At 53.3% G+C, this 24,415-nt stretch overlaps 2 protein-coding genes across 3 annotated transcripts in view, besides 3 other annotated features; one reads left to right on the top strand and one right to left on the bottom strand.

Annotated features, from left to right (window-relative positions):
* GRK1 (G protein-coupled receptor kinase 1) overlaps positions 1 to 24,415 on the bottom strand; it is an 89,538-nt gene that overhangs the window by 64,716 nt on the left and 407 nt on the right. Inside the window, exons 1-3 of one of the 2 annotated variants that reach the window (NM_002929.3) lie at positions 4,936 to 5,802; positions 3,207 to 3,334; positions 1,365 to 1,522 (exon numbers count right to left, since the gene is read on the bottom strand). In NM_002929.3, the coding sequence (NP_002920.1) occupies positions 1,365 to 1,522; positions 3,207 to 3,334; positions 4,936 to 5,634 (985 nt within the window). In that variant the 5' untranslated portion in view covers positions 5,635 to 5,802. Of the gene's footprint in view, positions 1 to 1,364; positions 1,523 to 3,206; positions 3,335 to 4,935; positions 5,803 to 24,415 lie in introns of those variants that run through there. The other variant, XM_047430493.1, reaches the window with a different exon arrangement.
* Positions 14,823 to 24,217, top strand: ATP4B (ATPase H+/K+ transporting subunit beta). Its single transcript, NM_000705.4, has 7 exons — positions 14,823 to 14,988; positions 18,079 to 18,207; positions 19,587 to 19,700; positions 19,949 to 20,148; positions 21,294 to 21,350; positions 22,514 to 22,615; positions 23,486 to 24,217. The coding sequence occupies exons 1-7, from the start codon at positions 14,877 to 14,879 to the stop codon at positions 23,645 to 23,647; spliced, it is 876 nt and encodes a 291-aa protein (NP_000696.1). The 5' UTR covers positions 14,823 to 14,876; the 3' UTR covers positions 23,648 to 24,217.
* Positions 15,004 to 15,504: an enhancer, noted in NCBI's record as "H3K4me1 hESC enhancer chr13:114311832-114312332 (GRCh37/hg19 assembly coordinates)". NCBI's record gives its function as "activates a minimal SCP1, AML or CMV promoter by ChIP-STARR-seq in primed H9 embryonic stem cells {active_cell/tissue: H9 hESC(primed)}" and the evidence as "EXISTENCE:reporter gene assay evidence [ECO:0000049][PMID:30033119]".
* Positions 20,151 to 20,775: an enhancer, noted in NCBI's record as "H3K4me1 hESC enhancer chr13:114306561-114307185 (GRCh37/hg19 assembly coordinates)". NCBI's record gives its function as "activates a minimal SCP1, AML or CMV promoter by ChIP-STARR-seq in naive H9 embryonic stem cells {active_cell/tissue: H9 hESC(naive)}" and the evidence as "EXISTENCE:reporter gene assay evidence [ECO:0000049][PMID:30033119]".
* Positions 20,776 to 21,400: an enhancer, noted in NCBI's record as "H3K4me1 hESC enhancer chr13:114305936-114306560 (GRCh37/hg19 assembly coordinates)". NCBI's record gives its function as "activates a minimal SCP1, AML or CMV promoter by ChIP-STARR-seq in naive H9 embryonic stem cells {active_cell/tissue: H9 hESC(naive)}" and the evidence as "EXISTENCE:reporter gene assay evidence [ECO:0000049][PMID:30033119]".

The following is a 24,415-nucleotide window of genomic DNA, read 5'->3' as shown; positions in this document are numbered from 1 at the left end:
CATTAAAACATTCTTTGCTCTAAACTTTGAATACATTCTTCTTCTAGGCTATTTGTAAACAGTGAATCTAGAATGAAAGAATTATTCACCTTTTCAACAATGTGTTCTCTATCTCTTGAAGAAAAAAAATGAAAGTTTTGCAAATAATTATAAAGTTTCTGTAACATTAAATGGCATCAAAAGAAAAATTTCAGCTAATGGAGAGCAAGACAGAGTTAAGAGAGAGGGAAGAGAAAAATGAGATAAATGTGGTGATACAAACAATTAGGTTGAGGTAAATAGACACAATATTGGCAAAACCCAAAGGCTAAGGAGGGTACACTGAAAGAACATTTTGGTCAGAGAAGTAAAATTTTGTATAACCATACTTGTTTAGTTCTAAACAAATCTTGGGATCTGAGTGAACAAATTTTGATTGCTATAATTATGGCAGATTACACAGAATTGATATATACTGTACAAAAACAACCAAAGACTACATACACACCTCACACACACACACCACACAATTTACCACACATACCATGTACCACACCATACAGATACCACACACATACGCCACACACAATACCACACATACCACACACACCACACCACGAACACACCACATTCCACATACCACACACAATACCACACATACCACGTACCACACCAGATACCACACCATACAGGTACCACACACCACACATACACATACCAAGTGACCACGAGGCCCCAGCACCCCAGTCAGACTTACACACACCGCACACACCACACAATCACACACCACACACTGCACACACATACACACCATATGCCACACACACACCACACACAACACACACACACACCCCACAAACCACATACGCGCACACAGCACACACCACGCACACTGACAGTGGCTCCCTGGCTGACGGTGGAGGGCGCAGGGTGTAGGGAAGAGGGCCGGCCGTGCCACAGCTGAGCGTGAGTGTTGCCCACCGAGATCCTCCCACCTCGGCTCTCGCCCCGCCCCCCACGCACTCTCTCAGGGCCCTGGCACGTGTCTCGCACTTGCCTGACCTGCCGCTGTCGGGAGCCTAAACCCTCGTGTTTATTTCTGAGAAGAATCCCTGTGTGACGCCTCATTCAGGCAGAAGGAAGGTGGGGACTGGGCGTAACAGACTCGCCGTTCCCAGCTGGTTCTGCACCACAGACCCCTGCACTCACTCCTGTGACTCCTGGTGCCCGATGACACCTCCACCGTCCACGAAGCCGTCAGCCCTCATGAACCCCCACCGTCCACACAGCCGTCAGCCCTCGTGAGGTTGTGCAGAGACCCCCAAGGAAGCTGCGCCCCGCCCTCCTCGTAGCCCTCATCCCTCCCAGCCGAGGGCACCTCCTACCGTCATTGTCCAGCAGCACGTTCTCGGGCTTGAGGTCGCGGTAGACGATCCGCCTCTGGTGCAGGTGCTCCAGGCCGCAGATGATCTGCGCCGTGTAGAAGAGGGCGCGCGGCTCCGGGAAGCCAGGGTTCTCCTCATTCACGTTGTAGATGTGGTACCTGGGGGAAGACACGTGGGAACCATGCACCCCGGGTTTAATGGGGAGTAAAATCATGGAAAGACAGAGCTGGGGCCTCAGAACCATGTCTCTCGGCCAGCGTTCTGGTCGTTTTGAGGCCTGGCCCCCCTACGTCCCTGCAGAGGACACCCGAAGGCCATGGTGGCTGGCGGCGTTAGCAGCTCAGGGACCCTGAACCCCAACTGCTAACAGGGAGAAAGTGCTGTCCACGTGCGTCTCCTGTCCGCCTGCTTTCCAGCGCGGGCCGCAGGTGCTAGGAAACAGCCCAGACCGTCTCAGGAAGGGGCCAGGCCGAGGCCGAGGTGGGATGCAGCTCCGCAGGCCCCAAGTTCATCAGACTCATGAAAGATTTGCAGTAAGGTGTTTCTTCTCAGCCTCTTTCCTCCCCCATAGAACATCATCTCTTATGTTTTCCACGGACAGGTTTTGCAGAGAAGCAAAACCTAACAAATAAAAGAAATGATTTAAACAAGAAATAATTTAAACGAGGTGGCACCAGGAGTATCGTCACAGGAAACAGGAGAGGAGGCCCTGGAGCCAGGCGGACCACAAGGCGGCCAGAGCCACCAGGCCCTCCCTGGGCACCCCTGTGACCGCGCTTCCTAGCACCCCTCCCCTCCTCCTGGACAACCCTGTGTGTGCACTTCCCAATGTCCCCTCCCCTCCGCCTGGGCACCCCCGTGTCTGCGTTTCCCAGCGCCCCCTCCCCTCCGCCTGGGCACCCCGTGTCTGCGTTTCCCAGCGCCCCCTCCCCTCCGCCTGGGCACCCCTGTGTCTGCGTTTCCCAGCGCCCCCTCCCCTCCGCCTGGACACCCCTGTGTCTGCGCTTCCCAGTGCCCCCTCCGCGTGGTGACTTAGTCTGGACTCACATTTCTCATCTGAAAAATGGGGCCACCAGCCTCACCTGGAGGAATTTCCTTGGAAATTAAAAGCAGGTGAGAATGGGGCATGGTGCTGCCAGCCACAGCCATGGCCCCTGCCCACTGCTAACCTTACGGGCATCAGACACTGCAGGTATTTCACACGTATTGTCTTAATCTCCGGACAGTCTCTGGACTCAGATATTATCTCTCCCCATTTTACAGACCAGGAAACAGAAGCACGCAGTGGCTAAGCGGCCCAGCTACCAAGCGAGCCTGTGATCTGATCCCCAGCACGGGCCTGGGGCCTGTCTCAGCGGCAGATCCGGGGCAGGACTTTGTGGAGGCAGCGCCACCTCCTCTCTGCCTGGGGACAGCAAGATCACGGCCCCCAGCTGGACTGATCTTGTCTCCAGCTCTAGGGTCAGCCCTAGGAGTGGGCGCTGGTGAAGTTCGTCTTCATTTACCCTCCTGGTGCAAGGCCCTCAGCCCTGCAGAGGCCCCGCCGACTGCATCACACGTCCCCCACAGCACCACGTGCCTCCCACACCCACACCAAGACCACACACAGGACGAGCCCTGATTGTCAGGTTGGGCGCCTCCCAGGCTCCTGCTCCGATGTGGGTCCAGGGTGCATTGTTTCAGGAACCAACAGCGAGAAGGGGATTGTGATGGGTGCAAGGCTTCCCTCGAGGGCAGGCCTGGGGCCACCATGGCTCTGCCTGTGGAAAGGAGCCCGGGCCCTGGAAACCCTGACCCAGTGGGACAGCGGGGCCCCCTCGTGCCCTCTGGCCCAGCCCTTACCTGATGTCACCTCCGTTCATGATGGTCATCACCAGACAGAGGTCGGCTTTGGTTTCAAACGCATAGGCCAGAGACACGATGAACCTGCTGTGTACTTTCATCAGAATCTTCTTCTCCACCATAGCACCCTGAAAAGTGAGACGCTGAGTACGCACTGGCTTTGAATAGGAAAGGGACTAGGTGCATCGCAGAGACCGTGTGCACCCGGCCACGCCCACTGCACACAGCCACGGAGCAGTCGCAAACATGCTTTAAATGCGCCTTTCACAAAGCAATTGCAAATGACTTCAAAACATGCCTGCACCCCCATTTCAGAAAACCAGACATGTGAATTCCTTCACATACAGGGGACTTCTGGTCTTCTGGGCCAGCCTCTGGCAAGGGGAGGCTCAAGCCCCAAGGCTGAGCAACATGGGTGAGGACCCTGCCAGCCCCGCCTGCCCAGCAATCCTGCAGCCACAGCCCTCCCTCCTGTCCAGGCCCCCGTGGGCTGGGCTCCCAGACCAGCACCTCCCAAACCCCCTCACCACTCTGCTTCATTTTGTCTTTATTTTGAAACCTCACAATGCTCCATTGAACGAGTTTGTAAGTGTCTGGATAAGGATAGCACATCCCTCTTTGAAGAGGGAATTCCTGATGTCGGAGGCCCCTTTCTGCACTTACATGGGGAGGTGTTCAGTTGATGTCAGTATGGAGTTCAGTTTGGTGACGGAAGTCAGGAAAAGAGGCTGAATGTTGGGTTAAATTTACAGTTAGATGTGAATGGCACGGTGGGGGAATTAGATGTCAAGAAAGCTAATTTTTAAAAATTACTGCTACAACCACACAGCATAGTTACTCGCCCCGAGTTCCACGGCGAGAACACGCAGATGTTCCAGGGCCTCCGCCCAGCGCTGTGAGCACCTGGTATTTCACCTTCACTGAGGGTTGAGGTTCCGCAGAGCCAGGGTGCACAGTGGCTGCTGCTTAACCCTAAGAGCTTCCTGTGCACTCAACACAGCTGCGTGGTGGGAGAGGGGCCAGGAGCCACGTGGAGTCAAAGTGCAGGGGGCTGGCTCAGGAGATCACGTCCACACCCGGCACAGCCGCTGCCCCTCACCCTTAAGACCTGTAAGCAGCTTCTGCTGATCCTGCCCCAGATGCACAGTCTGACGCCAGTGGGCAGAGCGGATGAAACTTAGAGCGGCCTGCGTGCCCGTCGCTCACTCCCACCCCCGAGGACAGCACACTCAGGGGAACAGTTCCTGCCCCCGGCGTCACGCCAGGCTCTGCCTCACAGAAACTGTCATCAGAGCGAGGCTGCCTCCGTCCTGCCTCAGTTCCTCCTGCATTCGCTGCGATCAGAGGAGCCAGGGCCCTGGAAAGTCTTCCACAGTCATGGCAAAGAATCCGGAGACCCTGCCCCTCTTCAGCCTCCCCTGAGAGGTCCTCTTTCCCCCACACTTGAGGCTAGTCTGTGGTTGGTGAAAAACCGACGAGTGAACGTGGCACGTCCCCACCCAAAAATGTGGAGGTCACTCTCCGAGGAGGGACTTCTGCACATGGACTGGAACTGCTCGTAACCGCACGGCCGCGGGGCGCCCACGTGGCGAGGCTGGCATGCATGCTCCCTTAGGCACCAGCTGTTAAGGGCCCCGGAGCCGACAGTGACCTGGGGGCCCTCTGCACCCTGCCGCCCCATCCCTGCACCCTGCCACCCCATCCCTGCTGGCCGGGTCGCGCTGCTCACCTGGTAGCCCTTCCTCTTCTTCAGCCGCTTCTTGTTCAGCTTCTTGCAGGCATACAGCTTGCCGGTCGCCTTCATCTGGCAGGCCGACACCTCCCCGAAGCCCCCTTTCCCTAGGACCCTGAAGTCCAGGAACCAGTCCTCCCCCATGGGCTGGGCTTCCAGCCACTTCCACTGCAGGAACCTCAGGAAGTACAGGCTGCCCAGGTACTCCTGGAAGGGGGCTTGGCCCAGGTGTGCCAGGGTGGCCTGCAGCAGGGGCTGGAAGAGCCCGTCCTGGATCTCCACAGGCCCCTCCTTAAACTTCGCCACTATCCCCTCATCCAGGAAGCTGCAGAAGAGTTTGGCCTGGGGGTCCAGGTACTGGGCCAGGATGGTCTGGGCCTTCTGTGGCTGGAGGTCATTGTCTGCCGTGTCATAGTCCTCGATGTCTTTCCAGAGCTCCAGGGCCGGCAGGTGCTTCTCTGCCGATTGTAGGAACTGCTGAAAGAGCTTCTTGCCGATGGGCTGCTCCAAGCACACACTCTCAAACTCCAGGCTGAGGCTGTCGCGGAGGGACTCACACTTGGACAGCGGGGGCAGCTTGAGCTTGGCCAGGTACTTCTTGTCCCGGGAGGGTTGGGAGCTGCTGCCGTCAAAGCTGCCTCGGGCGGCGATGAAGGCAGAGTTGGCCACCACGGTCTCCAAAGACCCGAAATCCATCCCGGAGCTTCCTGCCCGCTTCAGGCGTGAGGGCCCATCAGCCGAGGCCAAGCCGGGAGCGTTCACAGACAGAGCAGGCCTGACTGCTGCCCTTGGCCTGTGGCCCGTCCCTGCCCTTGCTGGACGAGAGAGACGCCCTGGCCCTGTCGAGGGTTCCTGGGGACCACTGGGAAGCCCCTGGGAGCCCGGGGCTGACACAGCACCAGGCTAAATCCCAGCCGGGGTCACGGAGGACGCTTAGGAGTGGCAAGAAGGTGCTAGAAAAAGACAATCCCCTGAGCTGCTTGGAATCCGATTAGATCATTCTGCCCGGCCCCTTCCTCCAAGGGGCCGCCTCACTTTTCCCCTGAGAAGGACAAACAACCACCAGGCTTCTGGGGCCCCTGGCTGGAGAGGCACTCAAAGCTCTGTTCTGAGCTGCTCCATCCAGCCCCTGGCTTCAGCAGCCAGGCTCAAGCCTGCTGTTTCCTTGGGATGTGGGCCTGACGGAGAGGATGGAGCCGGAAGAAACCGTAATTTACAAAGGCTGTTTTTCCCTATTTTTATTTTTAAGAAAATAGCAAATGAGAAAGAAAACCACCTGATAATAGGAATTTAGAGAGGAAAAGAAGCCCACAGTGACCAGCTTCCTGGGGGTCTGTAGGTGAGACCACCAGCGCTTACTGAGGGGTCAGTTCCCAGTCATTTGTCTTCTTCTCACCTGGGGTTTGCAGGCAAGGCAGGATTGTCAAGAGGCAGTTGCTGGTGACACCAGGACCAGGGAGCAGAAGATCCCCGGAGCTACATCAAACCAAGGCCCCACTCAGAGGGACGCATATGGAATACAGCTGGGGCTCACCTGGGACACACCTGGAATCCACCTGAGAAACACCTGGGGTACACCTGGGGCACATCTGGGACACACCTGGGACAGCTGGGACACACCTGGGGAACACCTGGGACACACCTGGGACAGCTGGGACAGCTGGGGAACACCTGCAACATACCTGGGGCACACCTGAGACCTGGGACAGCTGGGACAGCTGGTGAACACCTGGAACACACCTGGGGCACACCTGAGACCTGGGACAGCTGGGACAGCTGGGGAACACCTGGAACACACCTGGGGCACACCTGAGACACACTTGGGACAGCTGGGACACACCTGGGGTACATCTTGGACACACCTGGGACAGCGGGGGCACACCTGGGGCACACCTGAGACACTTGAAATGCAGCTGGGGAACACTTGGGACCCACCTGAGACACACCGGGGGCACATCTGGGGCACACCTGAGACACACCTGAGATACAGCTGGTGCACATGTAGGACACACCTGGGAGAGCTGAGGCACACCTGGGATATGCCTGGGGCACACCTGAGACACCTGAGACAGCTGGGGCACACCTGGGACACACCTGGGATGCACCTGGGGCACACCTGGGACACACCTGGGATGCACTGGGGGGCACACCTGAGACACCTGAAATGCAGCTGGGGCACTTGAGACCCACCTGAGACACACCTGGGGCACATCTTGGACACACCTGGGACAGCTTGGGCACACCTGAGACACCTGAAATGCAGTTGGGGAACACTTGGGACCCATCTGAGACACACCTGGGGCACACCTGGGATACAGCTGGTGCACACGTAGGACACACCTGGGACAGCTGGGGCACACCTGGGATATGCCTGGGGCACACCTGAGACAGCTGAGGCACACCTAGGACACACACCTGGGGCACAGCTGGGACACACTGGAGACAGCTGGGGCACACCTGGGACAGCTGGGGCACACCTGGGACAGCTGGGGCACATCTGAGACACACCTGGGATGCACCTGAGACACACCTAAGACAGCTGAGGCACACCTGGGATACAGCTGGGGCACACCTGAGACACACCTGGGACAGCTGGTACACACTTGGAGCACACATGGAATGCAACTGGGGCACACCTGCAATGCAGCTGTGACACACCTGGGACAGCTGGGGCACATCTGAGACAGCTGGGGCACACCTGGGACAGCTGGGGCATACCTCGGACACACCTGCAACACACCTGGGACACACCTGGGGATGGTCACACCAATAGGATTGTCAGCTTCATGAGGGCATGGCCCTGCCTGTCTTATTCCAGCACACAGTAGGTACTCAATAAAGGTTTGGAGAAGAATGAGGAGGAATTCAGCAGGGGATTGGTTCCAGCTCACACAGGGAGGAAGCAAAGGGTCGCAGAAAGGAAGAATGCCGGAGCATAGAGAGGTGGAGACTGTCAGCCCACCCCATTCCACGTGGGAGAAGAGGCAACTGTGGGAGGGCACTGGGGGCTGCACCTGGCAGGGTCTACAGAGGCCGAAGCGAGGGCCCGCAGACCGAGCCGACGTCCCCACGGTCTCCTGAGGGCTTTGGCAGGTGGATCACGAGTAAATATTTGAGGTGAGTGATATCCCATCGTTCACCAGGAGCCCTGCACGGGCCCAGCCCTGCCCTTCACAGCAGTGACCTTGGGCGGATCACGTTAACTCCTTCCTGCCTGCTCACCCAATGGGGCAACTGTGGTGCTTTGTGAAGTGTAGCCGTCTCTGCTGACGTCTCGCTGCCTGTCCTGGTTCATGCCTCAAACAGCTACACACATGAATCGCCCGGAGACCTTGCTGGAATAAAGAGTCTGCTTCAGTGGCCAGGTGGGCCAAGACTGCACCTGTAACAAGCTCACAGGTGGTGCTGATGCTGTGGAGGCGTAGGGTCTGAGGAGGATGGCTTCCTGTTGGACTGGGGGCCGTTCCACCTGCAGTCATGTTGGGAAGCGTTCGGTTAAATAAAGTTAAATATGTTAAACAAGCAAAGTTAAAAATATGTGAAACGTGTCCATCACAGGGTTTATTCAGTGATTTCAGAGTGAACGTGTCTCTCAAAGAGAAGTAAAGTATGTCGTTTCCCAAATTCATTTGGCCCTGAAAATCCCTTTTTAATTAAACTCTTTATTCTGTGATAATTGTGGATTTACATGCCATGTTAAGAAACAATCCAGAGAGATCCTGTGTACCCTTAACTCTGTCTCCTGTAATGATGACATCTTGCCAAGTAGCGAGGATATTGGCATCCATATGGCTGAGACAGAGGCCGCCTCCATCCACGGGACCCTCCTGTGCTGCTCACAGATGCACCGAAGTTCCCCCAGCCCGCCCTGCTCAATGCCCGGCAACCACGACTTCTCTAAGCACGTCACATGAATGGAGTCAGACACTATGTAGCCTTTCAGGACCTGCATTTCTCACTCAGCACTGTTCCCAGGTGTCAGCCATTCCCTCCTCGTCTCTGTGGTGTGCTCCACAGAGGAGAGTGCCACAGTCCGTTTCGCCGTTCACCGGTTGAAGGACGGCTGGATCGTTTCCAGTGTTTAGCTATAAAGCTGCTATAAACATCTGTGTAGGCCTTTGTGTGAATAGAAGTTTCTATTTCTCTGGGGTAAATGCCTAAAAGTGTCGTAATTGCACGTTTAGTTTTGAAGAAACCGGCAAGCTGTTTTCTGGAGTGGCCGTGCCATTTTACATTCCCACCAGCGATGGTGAGCAGATTCTTCCTCAGGATCCTCCCCAGAGTTTAGCGCTGCCACAGTCTTGTTTTGGCCCTCCTGGTAGGTGTGGAGTATTCCCTTACGGTTGTAATTTACATTTCCCTAATGGTGGAAGAACACCTTTCCATGTGTGCATTGCCATCTGTGCGTGCTCTTGGGTGAAATGTCTCTTCACATCTTTTGACCATGTAACAACTGGATTGTTTGCTTTCCTGTCATGAGTTTTGAGATTCTATCAATATCAGATAGCAGTCCTTTGTCAGACATGCGGTTTTCGAATATCCTCTCCCAGTGATAGCTTCTCTTTGCCTCCTTTCTATATGGGCTTTCATAGAGCAGAAGTTTTAAATTTTGTTGAATATAAATATTATAGATTGTGCTTTTGGTGTTGTCCAGCCCCAGATCTTGAAGATTTTCTCCCATATTTTTCCTAAAAGTTTTATAGTTTTACAATTTACATTTACGTTCATATCCACTTTGGGTTACTTTTTATAGAAGGTTTAAGAGGTTGAAGGTCTTTTTCCTCCCCCTTTGGCCAATGGATATCCAATAGCTCCAGCACTGTTTGTTGAAAAGGTTATTTTTGCTTCATTGAATTCCTTTTGCGCCTTTGTCAGAAATCAGTTGCACATATTGTGTGGGTCCACCTCTGGATTTTCTCTTCTGTTCCATTGATCTATGTGTCTCCCTCTGACCATACCATACAATCTTGATCACCACAGCTACATAATAAGCTTTGAAATTGGGTAGACTGAGTCCTCCCATTTTATTCTTGTTTTTCAAAAAAAATTTCAAAAAATGTTTAAAAAACCCTATGTTCAAAATATGCAAGAAAATATTTACTTATTCTAGTTCCTTTGCTTTTCTATATAAATTTTAGAATAATCTTGTATATATCTACCAAAAACATTGTGTCTGGATTTTGATAGGAATTATGTTGCACCCTATATCAATTTGGGGAGATTGATCTCTTTGTTATGTTGAGTCTTCCACACTACAAACATAGTGTGTGTCTCCATTTATTCAAACTCTAATTTCTTTCATCAATATTACATGGGTTTCAGCATGCAAGTCCTGTACATGTTTTGTTATTAACACCTAAATATTCCTCTTGGTGTTGAGCAATCATAAATGGTATTGTGTTTTTAATTTTGGTATCCATATGCCTATTGCTAGTATATAGATGTACAGTGGATTTTTGCACCTTCATCTCATATCCTGAGACCTTGCTAAACTCACTTAACAGCTGTAGGAGTTTTGTTATGGATTCTTTGAGATTTTCTACATAAGCATTCATGTTATCTGCAAATAAGGACAGTTTTATTTCTTCCTTTCTGATATTCATGCTTTTTATTTCCTCTTCTTGTTCATTGCTCTAGCTAGAACTTCCAGTACAATGTTGGATAAAAATGAGGGGCTTGTTCCCGGTCTTGGGGTAAAAAACGTTTCATCTTTCACCATTGGGCATACTGTTAGCTGTGGGTTTTTTGTCAATGCTTTTAATCAAGTTGAACAGGCTTCCTTCTACTCTTGGTTTGCTGAGAGCTTTTGTCACATGGAAGCTGAATTTCATCAAATGCTTTTTCTTTGCTGATTGATATGATTGTGTGGTTTTTCTTCAGCCTGTTAATGTGGTGGATCACACTGATTGGGTTTTGAATACTGAACCAGCCTTGCATTCCTGGAATACATCCCGCTTGGTCATGGCATTTGCTTTTTATACTTTGTTGGATTCAACTTACCAAATTTTATTTATGGTTTTTGCATCTATATTCATGAGGGATATTGATCTGTAGTTCTCTTTTTTGAACTATCCTTGTCTGATTTTGTTATAAAGGTAACACTGGTCTTATAAGATGAGTTGGAAAATATTTCCTCTTCTTCTATTTTCCAAAAGATGGTGAAGAATTGGTGTTCTCTATTAAGTGTTTGGTAGAATTGTCCCATGAAATCATCTGGGCCTAGAGGTTTCTTTATTGGGAGATTTTAAATTATTAATTCAGTTTCCTTAATAGTTATAGGCTATTTACATTATCTATTTGAAGTCGGGTGAGTTGTGATTTTTGATGAAGCAGCCCATTATCTAAGTTGTAAAGTTTATGTATGTAGAATTGCGCAAGTATTTCCTTCCTTATCTTTTTGATGTTTGCAGGGTCTGTAGTGATAGCTCCTATTTTATTCCTGCTATCAGTTATCTCAGCCTTCTCTCTAGCTACAGGTTTATTAATTTTATTTACATTTTCAAAGAACTAGTCCTTTCTATTGCTTTTGCATTTTCAAGTTCATTGGTTTCTGCTCTTATCTTTTAATTTCTTCCTTCTGCTTGTTTTTGTTGCTGCTGTTGTTTGCTTGCTTGCTTTTGCTTTGTTTTACTTGCTTTTCTTTTTCTACATTTGTGAGATGAGAGCTTAGGGTTTTTGAGACTTGTCCTCTTTTCTAAAATATGCATTTTTAGTGCTATAAATTTTCCTCTTAATACTGCTTTAGCTATGTCCCTTGAGTTCTTATATGGTGTATTTTTTCTTCATTCAGTTCCATGTATTTTTAAATTTCCCTTGAAACTTCCTTTTTGACTCATGAGTATTAGAAGTATGTTGTTCAGGTTTCATATTTGGAGGTTTTTCTGTTATCTTTGTTATTAATATCTAATTTGATTCCATTGTGATTGGAGAACATACTCTGTATGATTTGAATTCTTTAAATTTGCTAAGACTTCCTTTATGGCCCAAGATACAGCTTATCTTGATATATATTTCATGGGGACTTAAAGAGAATGTGTATTCTCTGTTGAGTATTCTGCGAATGTCAATGACATCCTGTTGGTTGATGATGTTGAGTTCTTCCGTATCCATGCTAATTTTCTATTTGGTTGTTCTATCAATTGTTAAGAGAGGAGTGTTGAGATCTCCAACTATAATTGTGGATGTGTTTATGTCTACTTTTAGTTCTATCAGTTTGCTTTCCATATTTTGCAGCTTTCTAGTTTTTCATTTGTTTCAGGCTTGTTTGTAATTGCTATTCAAGCATTTTTATCATGGCTGCTTTAAAATTTTTGGCAGCTAATCCTAACATCTCTGTCACCTTGGTGTTGGCATATATTGTCTTTTTAAATTCATTTTTAGAATTTTTTAATTTTTTAGCAGAGATGCCCAGGCTGGTCTGGAACTCCTGGTCTAAAACGATCCTCTCAGTCCAGCCTCCCAAAGCTCTGGGATAACAGGCATGAGCCAAAACACCCAGCTTTGTATTAATTCATCTTAAAATCGTCCTCGTTCTTTGTGTGATGAGTGGTTATCTACTGAAACCCAGACGTTTTCATATTATTTAATCCTTCTCTTTTTACTGGCTTTCTCTGACCCCACTTCAGCAGCAAAAGGGAGAGGCTTCACCTTGTTAACACCATGTGGGGCCAGAAGTCTAGGTTTCCCACTGGGAACCTTTGGGTGGGCTCCTGAGGACTGTTGGGTGGGTGGGTAGCAGTCCTGGCTTTCCATATGGTCTCCACTGACACCACAGTGGGAGGTGGCCTTGTCACTGTGTGGTGGTCACAGTCCTAACTTTCTACTACGTTGTGTCTGACACCACTCAGATGGGGGGAGAGAGGGGTGACCGGTGGCTGCCAGATGTGGGTGGGATTCTGGGCCCCCCTCATTGTCTGGCACCCAATTTGTATAGAGCACCTAGTTCTATGTTTTCAGAGCATGCTGTGGGGAAACTGCCCTCTACCAAGGTCTCTGGCCCTCCTCCCCACACGTATGTGTCCAGAAGAAGGTCATTCTGATAACATGTGTACAGCTCAGCACATGTACCTGCTTCTGGAAATTCAGAGACTACATTAGGAAGACTAAATTCAAAGATGTTTAGAAATAATTCATACTTTGTTCATTTCAAGAGCATCTATACCCTTCACAGACAACAGTTGCTGCATCCAGGTGTTGTCAGACCCCTGGCACTCTGGGGTCCCAGGGCCACAGTCTGTGAACAATCAGACTGTGGCCTTTACTGCCAGACCCTGTGTTCTTATCGCCCTAACATTCCAAAGTCAGAAATGGGTACAATGTTAAAGGAAGGATAGGTCCATTAAGAAATTATGGCTGGGCGCAGGGGCTCACGCTTGTAATCCTAACACTTTGGGAGGCCGAGGTGGGAGGATCCCTTGAACTCAGGAGTTCTAAACCAGTCTGGGCAACATAGGGAGACCCCATCTCTACAAAAAAATAAAAGAAATAAAAATTAGAAATTAAAAAAAAGAAAAGAAATGATAGGAATCCAGGCTAAAATGACATCATTCCATTTGAATTTTAGGGCAATTATTTTGCAAACTCTAAATTATCCTAAAAAATTAAAGCAGCGTAATGCCTAGAGGAATTTTGTTTCTTCTAAGAAATGAATTTGGTTACACGGGTCCCTGAGAGGGACGGCCTAGAGTTGACAGTATGGGAAACTCTGCATGTAATTCTGGACACACAGGGCTAGTCGACTTCGAATCATATTTGTCAGAAGGCCCCTGAGCACATTTCATTTGCCCTGCATTCCCATCAACCTCCTGCAGAGATGGGCACTGCAGCCAGCAGGCAGCAATGGCATCTGCCATCCAGGACCCCTGTCTCCAACAGCAAAGCGTCTGAGCCGGGGTTCTGAAGTGCGCCGCCCAACAAGACTGCCTGGGAGCCCTCCACGTCCTGGTGCTCGGACCCATGGGCGAGAGGCTCAGGCAGAATCTCCGGGCGGAAGTGGGCAGTGATGACTTCATGGTCCCTGCCCCGGCCCTGTGACCCCAGTGCACTGCCCGGACCCCCGGTGACCCCGAGGTACTGCCCAGGCTGAGCATCCCCCACCTGGACCCTGCCTTACTCCCTCCCACCAGCACTGTTAGAAATGCAGTCTGGGGCCCCCACAGGACTCGCTGGGCTGAATCTGCATTCAACAGATGCTCAGGGCTCCTGTGCACTTCATTTTGAGGACCACTAGATTTAGGGGTTTGTGTTTATGAATTCCTCCATGGACACAAAAAAATCCTAAAGGGCCCTCGGTGCCACTGCCCTCTGGGGATCTAAGAGGCTATTGCTGCTCTGGGTGAATCTGGGAGGCAGAGGAGTCCCCGGGGACCCCTGTGTTCCCTGCCAACCCAGCTCCAGCTGCCAGGCTCACCCTTCCACTGGGTGACCCAGAATCGGGGCGGCCGCAGCGGGGGGCCCAGGGAGCCGGTCGCCCCTCACTCGCCTGCCTCACGCCCTCCCAGGCCAGGGATGCGGCCCCAGCTGGCTCAGCCCAAGGTCGTGGACACAGTGGGTCCAGGCCGGCTCTGCTCTGACCTCAATCTCCCTCCTGAAGGAGAGGAGGGAAGGGGAAGGGCCTGTGAGTGCTGCTCACCCCGGAACGTGCCCTCACCGCAATCAGAGCAGACAAAGCTGCAGCCAAGGGCGTCCCAAGAGCAGCAGGGTGAGGAAAGCGGGCCTGGCCCGCCCCAGGGGCAACAGCCGGGCTGCACCCAGCCCCTGGTGTTTGGTGAGGCGATGGCCGGCGCTGATAAACGGCCCTGGCCTCTCCCTGGGATCCTTCGCCTGCGATGCCTTTGACCTCTGGCAGAGGAAACTATAAAGCCCAGAGGTGGGCATCTGGCCTCAGTCTGGGCGTAGAGGGTGCAGGGAGCAGACGGGAGGATCTCAGGCCAGGGACGATGGCGGCTCTGCAGGAGAAGAAGACGTGTGGCCAGCGCATGGAGGAGTTCCAGCGTTACTGCTGGAACCCGGACACGGGGCAGATGCTGGGCCGCACCCTGTCCCGGTGGGGTACGTGCGGGGGGCGGGCCGGCTGGGTGCATGGAGGGGGCCGCTCTGAGGACGCAGCCTCCAGGTGAGCTCAGGAGGAGGGGAGCAGAGGGCCCCTGACAGTGAGACCCCGATGCTGCCTGGATGGCGTGGACGGGCTTCGGCCAGGGCCTCACTTGCCTCCCAGGGAAAGCGAGGGTCCCCAGAGCATCCTGAAGGCTGAGTTGACCTGGAGCCCCAGCTGCAGAACGCCGGTGGAGGGCGTCCACAGACTGGCCCCAAATGTCAGCCGTATGTCTGAGAACAGCATTTTAAAAGTATGTTTCTAAAGTGAATCATTTTGAAAATAACGTGAAAGGTGGCAACGGTGATTCCTTGGTCACACAGATTCACGCAATGACCTGAATAAGGGGCTCTGCCGAGACGCGGCTGCCAGCCCCTTTCCGGGACACCCGCTGGCGTCCAGATGCGGAGGTGGGGAGTAAACCAGGCCTGCCTCAGCCTGCAGCACCTGCGCCTTGTGCGAGGTCTGCCCTGCAGGGTCCTGTCCCCGTGGCTGCACAGAGGCGCGGGCAGCCTGGCCCTCCTGGGAGGAAAGCAGATGCCTGGGCCTCCAAGGCCACACAGGTGGTGGAAGCGTCTGCGTCTACATCAGGGCTGCCACACCCGTTCCGGGAAACGCCCTCACCCCTTATGAGAGAGTCTGGAGGAAGCACCTGTGCGCCCCCACCTCCCCCTGCGACCCCTGGGCGTCGGGATGCGGCTGAACTGGCTGGCCTGGTGCCGTCCCCGGCTCCCAGGGAAGGTCAGGCCCTCCTCAATTCCCACGGTGCCCGGCTCTGGGGGTCCCAGAGCCGAGGTGGGAATGCAAAGCCCCAGGCCCGCCCCACCTGTGTGTGTAGCTGAGACGTGCTGGGAATGCCCGTGACACGCTGCCAAATCCCCCACACTCACCACAGTGCTGGTGAAGGCTGCAGCCCCCGCTGGAGGCTCCACGGTCTCAAAGGGCACCAGAGCCAGCTGGAGTCATGGGCGCATTTGAAGTAGAACAAATACCCCGTTCCTAGAGAGGCAGGGACCGGGGGCAGAAGGGCCTCCTGGGCCAGGCGGGGCGGCAGAGCGGGAGGCCAGGATGGGGAAGGAGCTGAGGGCGGGGGCTGGGCTGGGGGCTGCCGGCCAGGTCCTTGGAAGCCCCATCTTTTGGGCCATTCTAGATGCTGAGACTCCCATGTGCCGCCTCCTGGCTGCAGGGCCACAGAGAACCTTCTGGAATGGTCTCACTGCCTGGCCGGTAGACATGGCCTCCGTTTGGGATAAGAAAGTCTTAGGGCCCCAGGAAAACACAACTCAAGTGAAATGACAAAAACAAAAGGAATAGGACACGTTATTCTTACTAATTGGGGGACGGGTGCAGGTGCAGGAGAGGCAGAGTGAGCTGCACCCGGCCGGCCCCAGGAGCTGGCGGGAATGGGACTCTCAGTCACCTCCCAACCCCTCCCCTGTGCACTGCAGCGTGCCCTGAACACCGTGGTGCAAGCGGGGGCCCAGGAAGTGCAGGGAGCATGGCCCTCCCGAGCCTGGGCCCAGCCTGGCCAACCTCGGGCTCCTACCCGGGAGGCAGGGCTGAGCCGCCTGGTGGAGCTGAGACTCGCCACAGAGTGGGTCAGCAGCCACTGGGGAGACACGCACCGCCCACATCTCCACTGTGCACCACGGGCCCCAGAGCAGACCCACAGGACCCACAGCGGGGGAACAGAGACCCCTGCCGTCACGAGCGTAGGTCCCCGGGGGACAGGCGGCCAAGTCAAATAGAAGCCACATCAGGAGTGACCTGGGGACACTGAGGCAGGACCTGCAGGGCCAGCACCAGGGAGGCACCAGGCGTGATCCAGTGACAGGACAGAAACCCTCCACCACTGCGGGCCCCACACTGCTGAAGCTGGAAACTCAAAACCGGAGGCTGAAGCCAAGCTGCTGTGGCCACACAAGAACGCCGTCACCAGGGACGCCCGGCGGGGAAAGGAGGGACTCAAAGTGGATGCCAGGTGAGCAAGACCCAGCCCTGAGCCCAGCTGGTGCTGAAGGGACCTGGCTCAGAGATCTGTGCTGTCCCAGCTCACAGAAGAGGGCAGGCAGTCCACAGGCCACAGCCTCTCATCACAGCTCAGGGCTCTGGCCTCTTGGCCCTGCACTCCCTTGCTTCTCTGACTTGGTCCTGCCCTTTGGTTGTGTTTTGGGTCACTGGAGAACGGCTCACTAAGCAGAATCCATGCCACATCAGCGGAGAGGAGGAGCAGGAGGCCCAGTTCATTACAGACTTTCCAGAAAGACAAAAGCCGTAGCAAACACAAAACCGTCCTCTTCCTGCCGGTGTCTCCCTGCAAATGCCTCCTGCGATCCACACAAGCTAATTTACAGAGACGAAGACAGCACACAGGCAGTCGCCTGTGTCCAGGAGCCGCCCATGGCCACGGGGACGGTGGCTTCCGTTAGGTTCTGACGCTGCAGGGGAAGCTCACAGGAGGGTCTCAGAAGCAGATGAGATGAAGCTGCACCCTGAGTTGCCGGTGCCTATGGACACCCTTGCTTCTGAGAAGAGCCATCTCCAGGGCTTCCCTTCCTCCCTTTCTCTTCCTGATGTCTTTGTGGAAGCAGGACCGGCCATGCACTTCCAGGCTGCACTATGGGTCACCATGGGCAGGACCCCACCTCTCTGCCTCAGTTTCCCTTCCTGTGATGGGGGAACCATAACTCCCCCCTCAGAGGGCCCTCGGTTCCTGCTGGAGCTGGGGTGGTGGCGCATCCTCGGCCACATCTCAAACAGCGGCTGGAGTGAAGGCAGCTGGGTGCAACTGCCTCGGGTCGCAGGATTCTGCCTATGTGGACGTCCAGACGGGCAAACCCAGAGGCAGAACGTGGCCGGTGGTGCGGCGCTGGGAGGGGATTGTAGTGACTGTTTGTGGGGACGGGGTTTCTGTTTTGGGGGAGGAGAATGTTCTGGAACTAGGTAGGGAAGATGGTCACGCCACATCACGGACGCGCTCAAGGCCACCGAATTGTGTGCGTTAAAATGGCTGACGTGGTAAATTTTGTGCCTGCCTTGTGTCGCAGTGTGGATCAGCCTGTACTACGTGGCCTTCTACGTGGTGATGACTGGGCTCTTCGCCCTGTGCCTCTATGTGCTGATGCAGACAGTGGACCCGTACACACCGGACTACCAAGACCAGCTACGGTCACCAGGTAAGCGCCCGGGATGTTGCCCCCATGCCGTGTGACAGGCCAGGCTGCCGCCTCCTCGGCTCTGGAGACGCCCGGGGGACCCGTGCCCTCCCCAGAAATGAAGCCCAGGGAAGCCAGCCCGGCAGCCCCAGGGTGAGCCACACACCCCAGCAGGTGCCCCCGAGGGCAGCCCCTGGCCCCTGAACCGGCTTTAAGAGCAGCACCAAGGCATAAGCGGCCCCTTAGTTTCTTTCCATGAGGAAAATGACTCCAAATTATAAAATCTGACTTTGGCTTTAGTTTTAATTATGAAACAGAAGGGTTTTGTTATAGAGACAAAGTTTTTCCATCCACTTACTTCCTGTGCTTGGATATGCACACGGAATGTTTCTGCAAGGACGCACAGGAAACAGTTTCCAAGGAGCACACCCGGGAGACCAGCAGAAAAGAGCCCGCTGGTCACCTACACATCAGCAGGGTGCAAGGACAGAGGAACAGGCATCCGAGTCGTCAGAGGCCACAGGACAGACGTCCCCATCGGTGTGCAGAGCAAGTGCAGAACCTCCTTTTCCCTCAGACCCTGCTGAAGGTTTTTATTTTAAACCACGTATAGATTTTACTCTTAACAAAATCCACTAAACAGCAACACCTAGCCTCAAATGTAAAGCCAGCTGCATCCATAGGGGACCAACTAAGCAAACTGCAGGCTTCACACAATGAAACCACATTTATGGAAAGAATGAGGTGAGTTGACACAAAATGACAGAAAAAGAGGCTCCCAATCGCACGGGAAGTGGAAGTGTGTGGCCACTGGGAAGCCAGTGGTGTGTGGATGGCGGGCTGTTCCTAAGGACCTGCAGTAAACACACGTTTCTGCATCTGTGTTTCCACAGAAACAGGAAAGTGTGCAAAGGATGCACATTTGACGGTTCACATCGGGAAAGTCGACGGCTCTGCGTTTCACTCCCCGCTGTGTGCATCCTGATGTTCAGTTTTACAGTTAACATGTTGTTAGACTGCTTTTGTTCTTAACCAAAACCAGTGAAGATTTTTTTTAATGCATGTTCAAATGCAATTTTACATAGAAACCCAGGTGCAGCCTCTGGATTAGTCATCACCTGTCACAGAGCAGGCACCCGGTGGAGAGAGCCAGCCACCCCCCACCCCCCACCATGGCAGCCAGCCAGGTTCCAGGGCCGGGGCAACTCCCAGCAGGGACCCAGGCTGCATTCTGACTGTGCTGTCCTGGGGGTCCTTCCTTCCTGTGCTGCAGACAGTTTACTCCGAGGAGGCTCCTGGGTTGGGCCACCGCCTCTGGCGTATCCTCAGCCACTTCAGAACTGATGGCTTAAATGTGGTGAGCATTTGGAGACGCTAAGCACAAAGGTCTCTCTCTCCAGGGGTAACCTTAAGGCCGGATGTTTACGGGGAGAAAGGCCTGGAAATTGTCTACAACGTCTCTGATAACAGAACCTGGGCAGACCTCACACAGACTCTCCACGCCTTCCTAGCAGGTGAGGTGTGAAACGGCAGGTGAGGTGTGAAGCGGCGGGTGGGTGAGGTGTGAAGCGGCGGGTGGGTGAGGTGTGAAGCGGCGGGTGGGTGAGGTGTGAAGCAGCAGGTGAGGTGTGAAACGGCTCCACAGCTTCGGCCTTTTCTATTTCATGAGAAACTCGCACTCAGGGCTTGCAAGGCCTTCCCGGGGGGCAGCCAGGCGTCAGGGCCAGGGCAGGACAGGGCTGGCAGGTGCGTCCGTCTGCAGGCTACTCTCCAGCAGCCCAGGAGGACAGCATCAACTGCACCTCCGAGCAGTACTTCTTCCAGGAGAGTTTCCGCGCTCCCAACCACACCAAGTTCTCCTGCAAGTTCACGGCAGATATGCTGCAGAACTGCTCAGGCCTGGCGGATCCCAACTTCGGCTTTGAAGAAGGAAAGCCATGTTTTATTATTAAAATGAACAGGGTGAGTACTGAGGGTCTCCTTCACACGCCACTACAACAGTGCAGTCAGGGCCTCTCACCCACACCCACCACGAGGAGCACAGGTGTCCTGTCTGGGGCTTGCCCAAGCGGGACAGGGACTCCAGCCTCACCACCCTGTACCTTGGTTTGGCACGCACCTGTCCCGTGTGGTTCTTAGATACAAATTTGAAACCACTCGTCAGACACCAGCACATAGCCGGCCCTCTAAAACATGTGGAAACATTTGAACAGGGGTCTCTGCAAGGCCAGGGCCCCCTTCAGGGCAGCCAGAGATGCCAGGGCCAGGTAAAGGGGCCTCAAGTTCTGGAGTCAGGATTGGGAGGGGTTTAGCACCTTCTAAAGCAGAGGCTTCCAACCTGGGACCAGGGGCCCCTTAGGGGGTGTGGGGAGGTGATCCCTGAGCCAGGCTCGAGCAGGGCAGGTCCTGGCCAAGCAGAGGGCTTGGGGCCACCACTCCATGGACCAATCAGCAGCTCTGTGCTGGGCCTCCGGGCAGCTGTGCTGTTCCTTTTCCACTTAAGAGGCTGCAGGCTTGTGCCCTCTACACCTCACGGGTCCCCGTCAGCCAGGGTCTCAGCACTGCCGGCATGGAGGGGCTGTGACGGGGGTCCCAGCAGGGCGTGGTGGCCACTGTGCCCGTCTCATGGCAGCTGCCACCCTCGGAGCACAGCAGGGGATGGCTGGGGCTGGAGAAGCCCAGGGAAGAGGTGTGGGGAAGGGGGCTGAAGGCCCGGGTGGGCCAGAGAGAGTTTTCTGGAAGAGCTGTGCAGAGCAGGAGGCAGGCCGGCCCGTGCTCTGTCTCAGTGCTCCACCGGACCTGGACATGGTTCGAGGGCTAAGACCACCCCGCCCCAGCTCTGCCTCCTGCCAGCCGCCTCCTGAAGCCTGGGCCAAGTGGCTTGCTGATGGGTGGGTGGGGGGAGGGCTGTGGCTCTGAATGATGAGTTAGTGACACCTATGGGGATTCCTCCAAGGGAAGCCGCAAACCAGACCAAGGGCCCTTCTCAGTCCTGGTCAGAAAGCCCAGGCTGGGGCCGGCCAGATCTCAGCTCCATGGGTGGGTGCCGTGCACCTCACATGGCGGTGGGGGTGGGGAGCGGCCACGCTCAAGCTTTTCCCTTCTAGATCGTCAAGTTCCTCCCCAGCAACGGCTCGGCCCCCAGAGTGGACTGCGCCTTCCTGGTGAGTACGGCCGCGCGGCGGGCAGGGCTGCCCCAGGAAAGGAGCTTGTCAGGGTCGTGCTGGTTCATGCTGGGCACGGCCCACCTGGTTCTCTCCAGGAATGTCAGCCGTCGGCCCAGTAAACCAGACGTAAACACCGAACCATCACCACAGCGAGCTCCACCATGGCGGGTAAAACCCAGCAAGGGAAACAATGGGGCTTTTTCTTATTGTTTGGCTTCCAGAAGCATCTGAGTAGCGTGTCAGCAGCACGCTTCAAAACGCCTGGTGGCGATGTGGAAAGACCAGTGCACCTTCCACCAGTTCTGTCCTTTTTATGTGCTTCTTTACAAAAAGGTTCCAGCTTGCCAGCAGCTACAGTTGTTTAACTGTGTTTAGTATACAGACTGCTAAGAGTTGGCATCGATCTCAGGCTAATTCCAGGTTGTTTTTCAAAACTGCTTTTTAAGTCAACATTTTTTAAAACTGAATTTTTTAAATTAAATGTCTTCTAAGATTTGCTTCCACCATGACACCCAAAGGCAAAGGTTTCACAGCGTGGTTCCATTACCGCGTGGAGCCTTCCCACTAGGGTGTCCGAGGGAACCTCACTTCCCTCGAAGCCTCCACTCTCGGTGGGGGCCGCGGGGATTTGCTTTTCCTTTTCTAATTTATTTGGGCCACACTGCGGCTCCTGAGATTCTAACAGATCCAAAGCACCCTTCAGCTGTTCGTTGATGACCCTGAGCTACCCACTGGGCAAGCCTCTGCTTCTGAAACGAGAGGGCCCCAATCTCACAAAAACGCATTCGCTTGCCCCACTCACACCAACTTGTAACCCAGTTTTGGCAAACCAGCCCTTGCCACTGAGCAGTGGCTACCCTCGAGTACAGACAAGCAAGCCGCCTCCCAGCTTCACCCACCTGCGTCATCCTTCCAACATTTCAAGTTGTTAGAGGCACACGGAGGGGTCACTGGGCATTTTGCATGCTAACAAATCATATCCTTGCTGAGATCTCAGCACTGATTAGAAAGATTGCATCTGATTTATGCTAAGTATGCAATAAAGTGTTTATGCAAGCACCTACACAGCGCGTGTGTGCACACACGCACACAAACGCAACACACAGACACCGGCACACACCAGCTCCCGCCTGACTCAGGCAGTGGCCTCTCCTCCCCAGGACCAGCCCCGCGAGCTCGGCCAGCCGCTGCAGGTCAAGTACTACCCTCCCAACGGCACCTTCAGTCTGCACTACTTCCCTTATTACGGGAAGAAAGCCCAGGTAGGTTCCTTCCTTCCACGCTTCCCTCACCACAGCTGCTGAGTCCTCTCACACTTAGCGAAAGGAAAGCAATAAGCCCCTTCATGTAGAAAAATGAAACAAAGGTGTGACTTAGCCGGTCCTGACTGGAACGTTCTGCGTGTTTCCCAAGCCCAGGTTCTTGTATCTACCTGGAAACATTCCTCTCACGCAACATGAAAATACAACTCTAACTCTTCAACTTTTTTTTTTTTTTTTGAGACAGTCTTGCTCTGTCACCCAGGGTGGATTGCAGCAATGCAATCTTAGCATCTTAGCTCATTGCAGCCTCAACCACCTGGGCTCAAGTGATCCTCCCACCTCAGCCTCCTAAGTAGCTGAGACCACAGGCACACACCAACATGCCCAGCTAATTTTCGTATTTTTTATAGAGAAAGGGTCTCAGTATGTTGCCCAGGGTGGTCTTGAACTCCTGGGCTGAAGCAATCAGCCTGCCTCAGGCTCCCAAAGTGCTAGGATTACAGGCATGAGCCACTGCGCCCAGCCTAATTTTTCTACTTCCCAGATCCTCTAAAACAACTGCATATCCACTTCGAAGACTTTCCTCCACATCACGTGCTTTTCCTGTTTCATTTTTACGTTAATCATCGTAAGAGTTTGAAGCTGAATTTACTCCTGGTATTGTCTGTCCCCTCCAGACAGTTGCTTTCCATTTTTACATGGGGGGTGTTATCTCAGCAAATTCCAGGGCATGCACTCGGTCAGGGCCAGTCTTACACAAAAGAGCTGCTTCTCTGCACCAACCTGACTGTTGACACTTCCTTGCTTAGTTTTCTCTCCTTAACTTCAGAGATTTTTGAAACACCTGTCCTTTCCTCACTCCCACTTCAGCCCCACTACAGCAACCCCCTGGTGGCAGCGAAGCTCCTCAACATCCCCAGGAACGCTGAGGTCGCCATCGTGTGCAAGGTCATGGCGGAGCACGTGACCTTCAACAATCCCCACGACCCGTATGAAGGGAAAGTGGAGTTCAAACTCAAGATTGAGAAGTGAAACGGTTTGCGCAGGGGTCCTGGGCACGCCTGCGGGGTCGCTCAAGGACACCCTCCTGGTTGGGCTTACCTTGCCCGTCAGTTCCCTGCCAAATCATCCCCAAAGTGGTTTGGAGCAACGGTGTTGTCAGTGTGCGAACTCCAGAGAAGCGCCCACATCTGAAGGACCTGCTCGCGAGTATCAGTTCTTCCTTGTTGAATTCTTACAGTTTTTAGATGGAATTTGCTGCTATAAGAATGTCCAGCTACCATGGGAACGCAAGGCAGCAACTCTCTAATTAACCAGGTCATAAAAACGATTCGTCTTCTATGTAGACATCACTTTCTTACTATAATTTATTTTTCTACACTTCAATATGAACTGCCCCCCCCACATTAATATAAAAACTACTAATGCACTGATATGAAACACGGCTTACACTAATGACATTCTGAATTCTTGCTTTTAAAATTGCAATTCCTAAGTTGTAAACATAAAATATATTAAAGTTACTCTTATTGTATGTAAAAAAAGAAATCGTGTTTCCTGATATGGGAGAAATTAAATAAAAACCAAACGCTTCCTTAAAAATCTCCTTCTAAAAGTCTCCATTGCAAGTCAGGAAAATTACAAAAACCACGTTGGTGTGGGGTTGTCACCTAAGGACGCTCACAGCTCCGGGAGGCAAACAGTGGGGAGTGAGTGTGTCGGCAGCCTGATGGTTTAAAACCCAGTTAGTTACAAACACACTTCTCGTTCACCAAGAACAAGTCTCTCCTCCAAATATAA

Source organism: Homo sapiens, chromosome 13, assembly GCF_000001405.40.
Source record: "Homo sapiens chromosome 13, GRCh38.p14 Primary Assembly".
NCBI lineage: Eukaryota > Metazoa > Chordata > Mammalia > Primates > Hominidae > Homo > Homo sapiens.
This window is presented reverse-complemented; position numbering and strand designations above follow the sequence as displayed.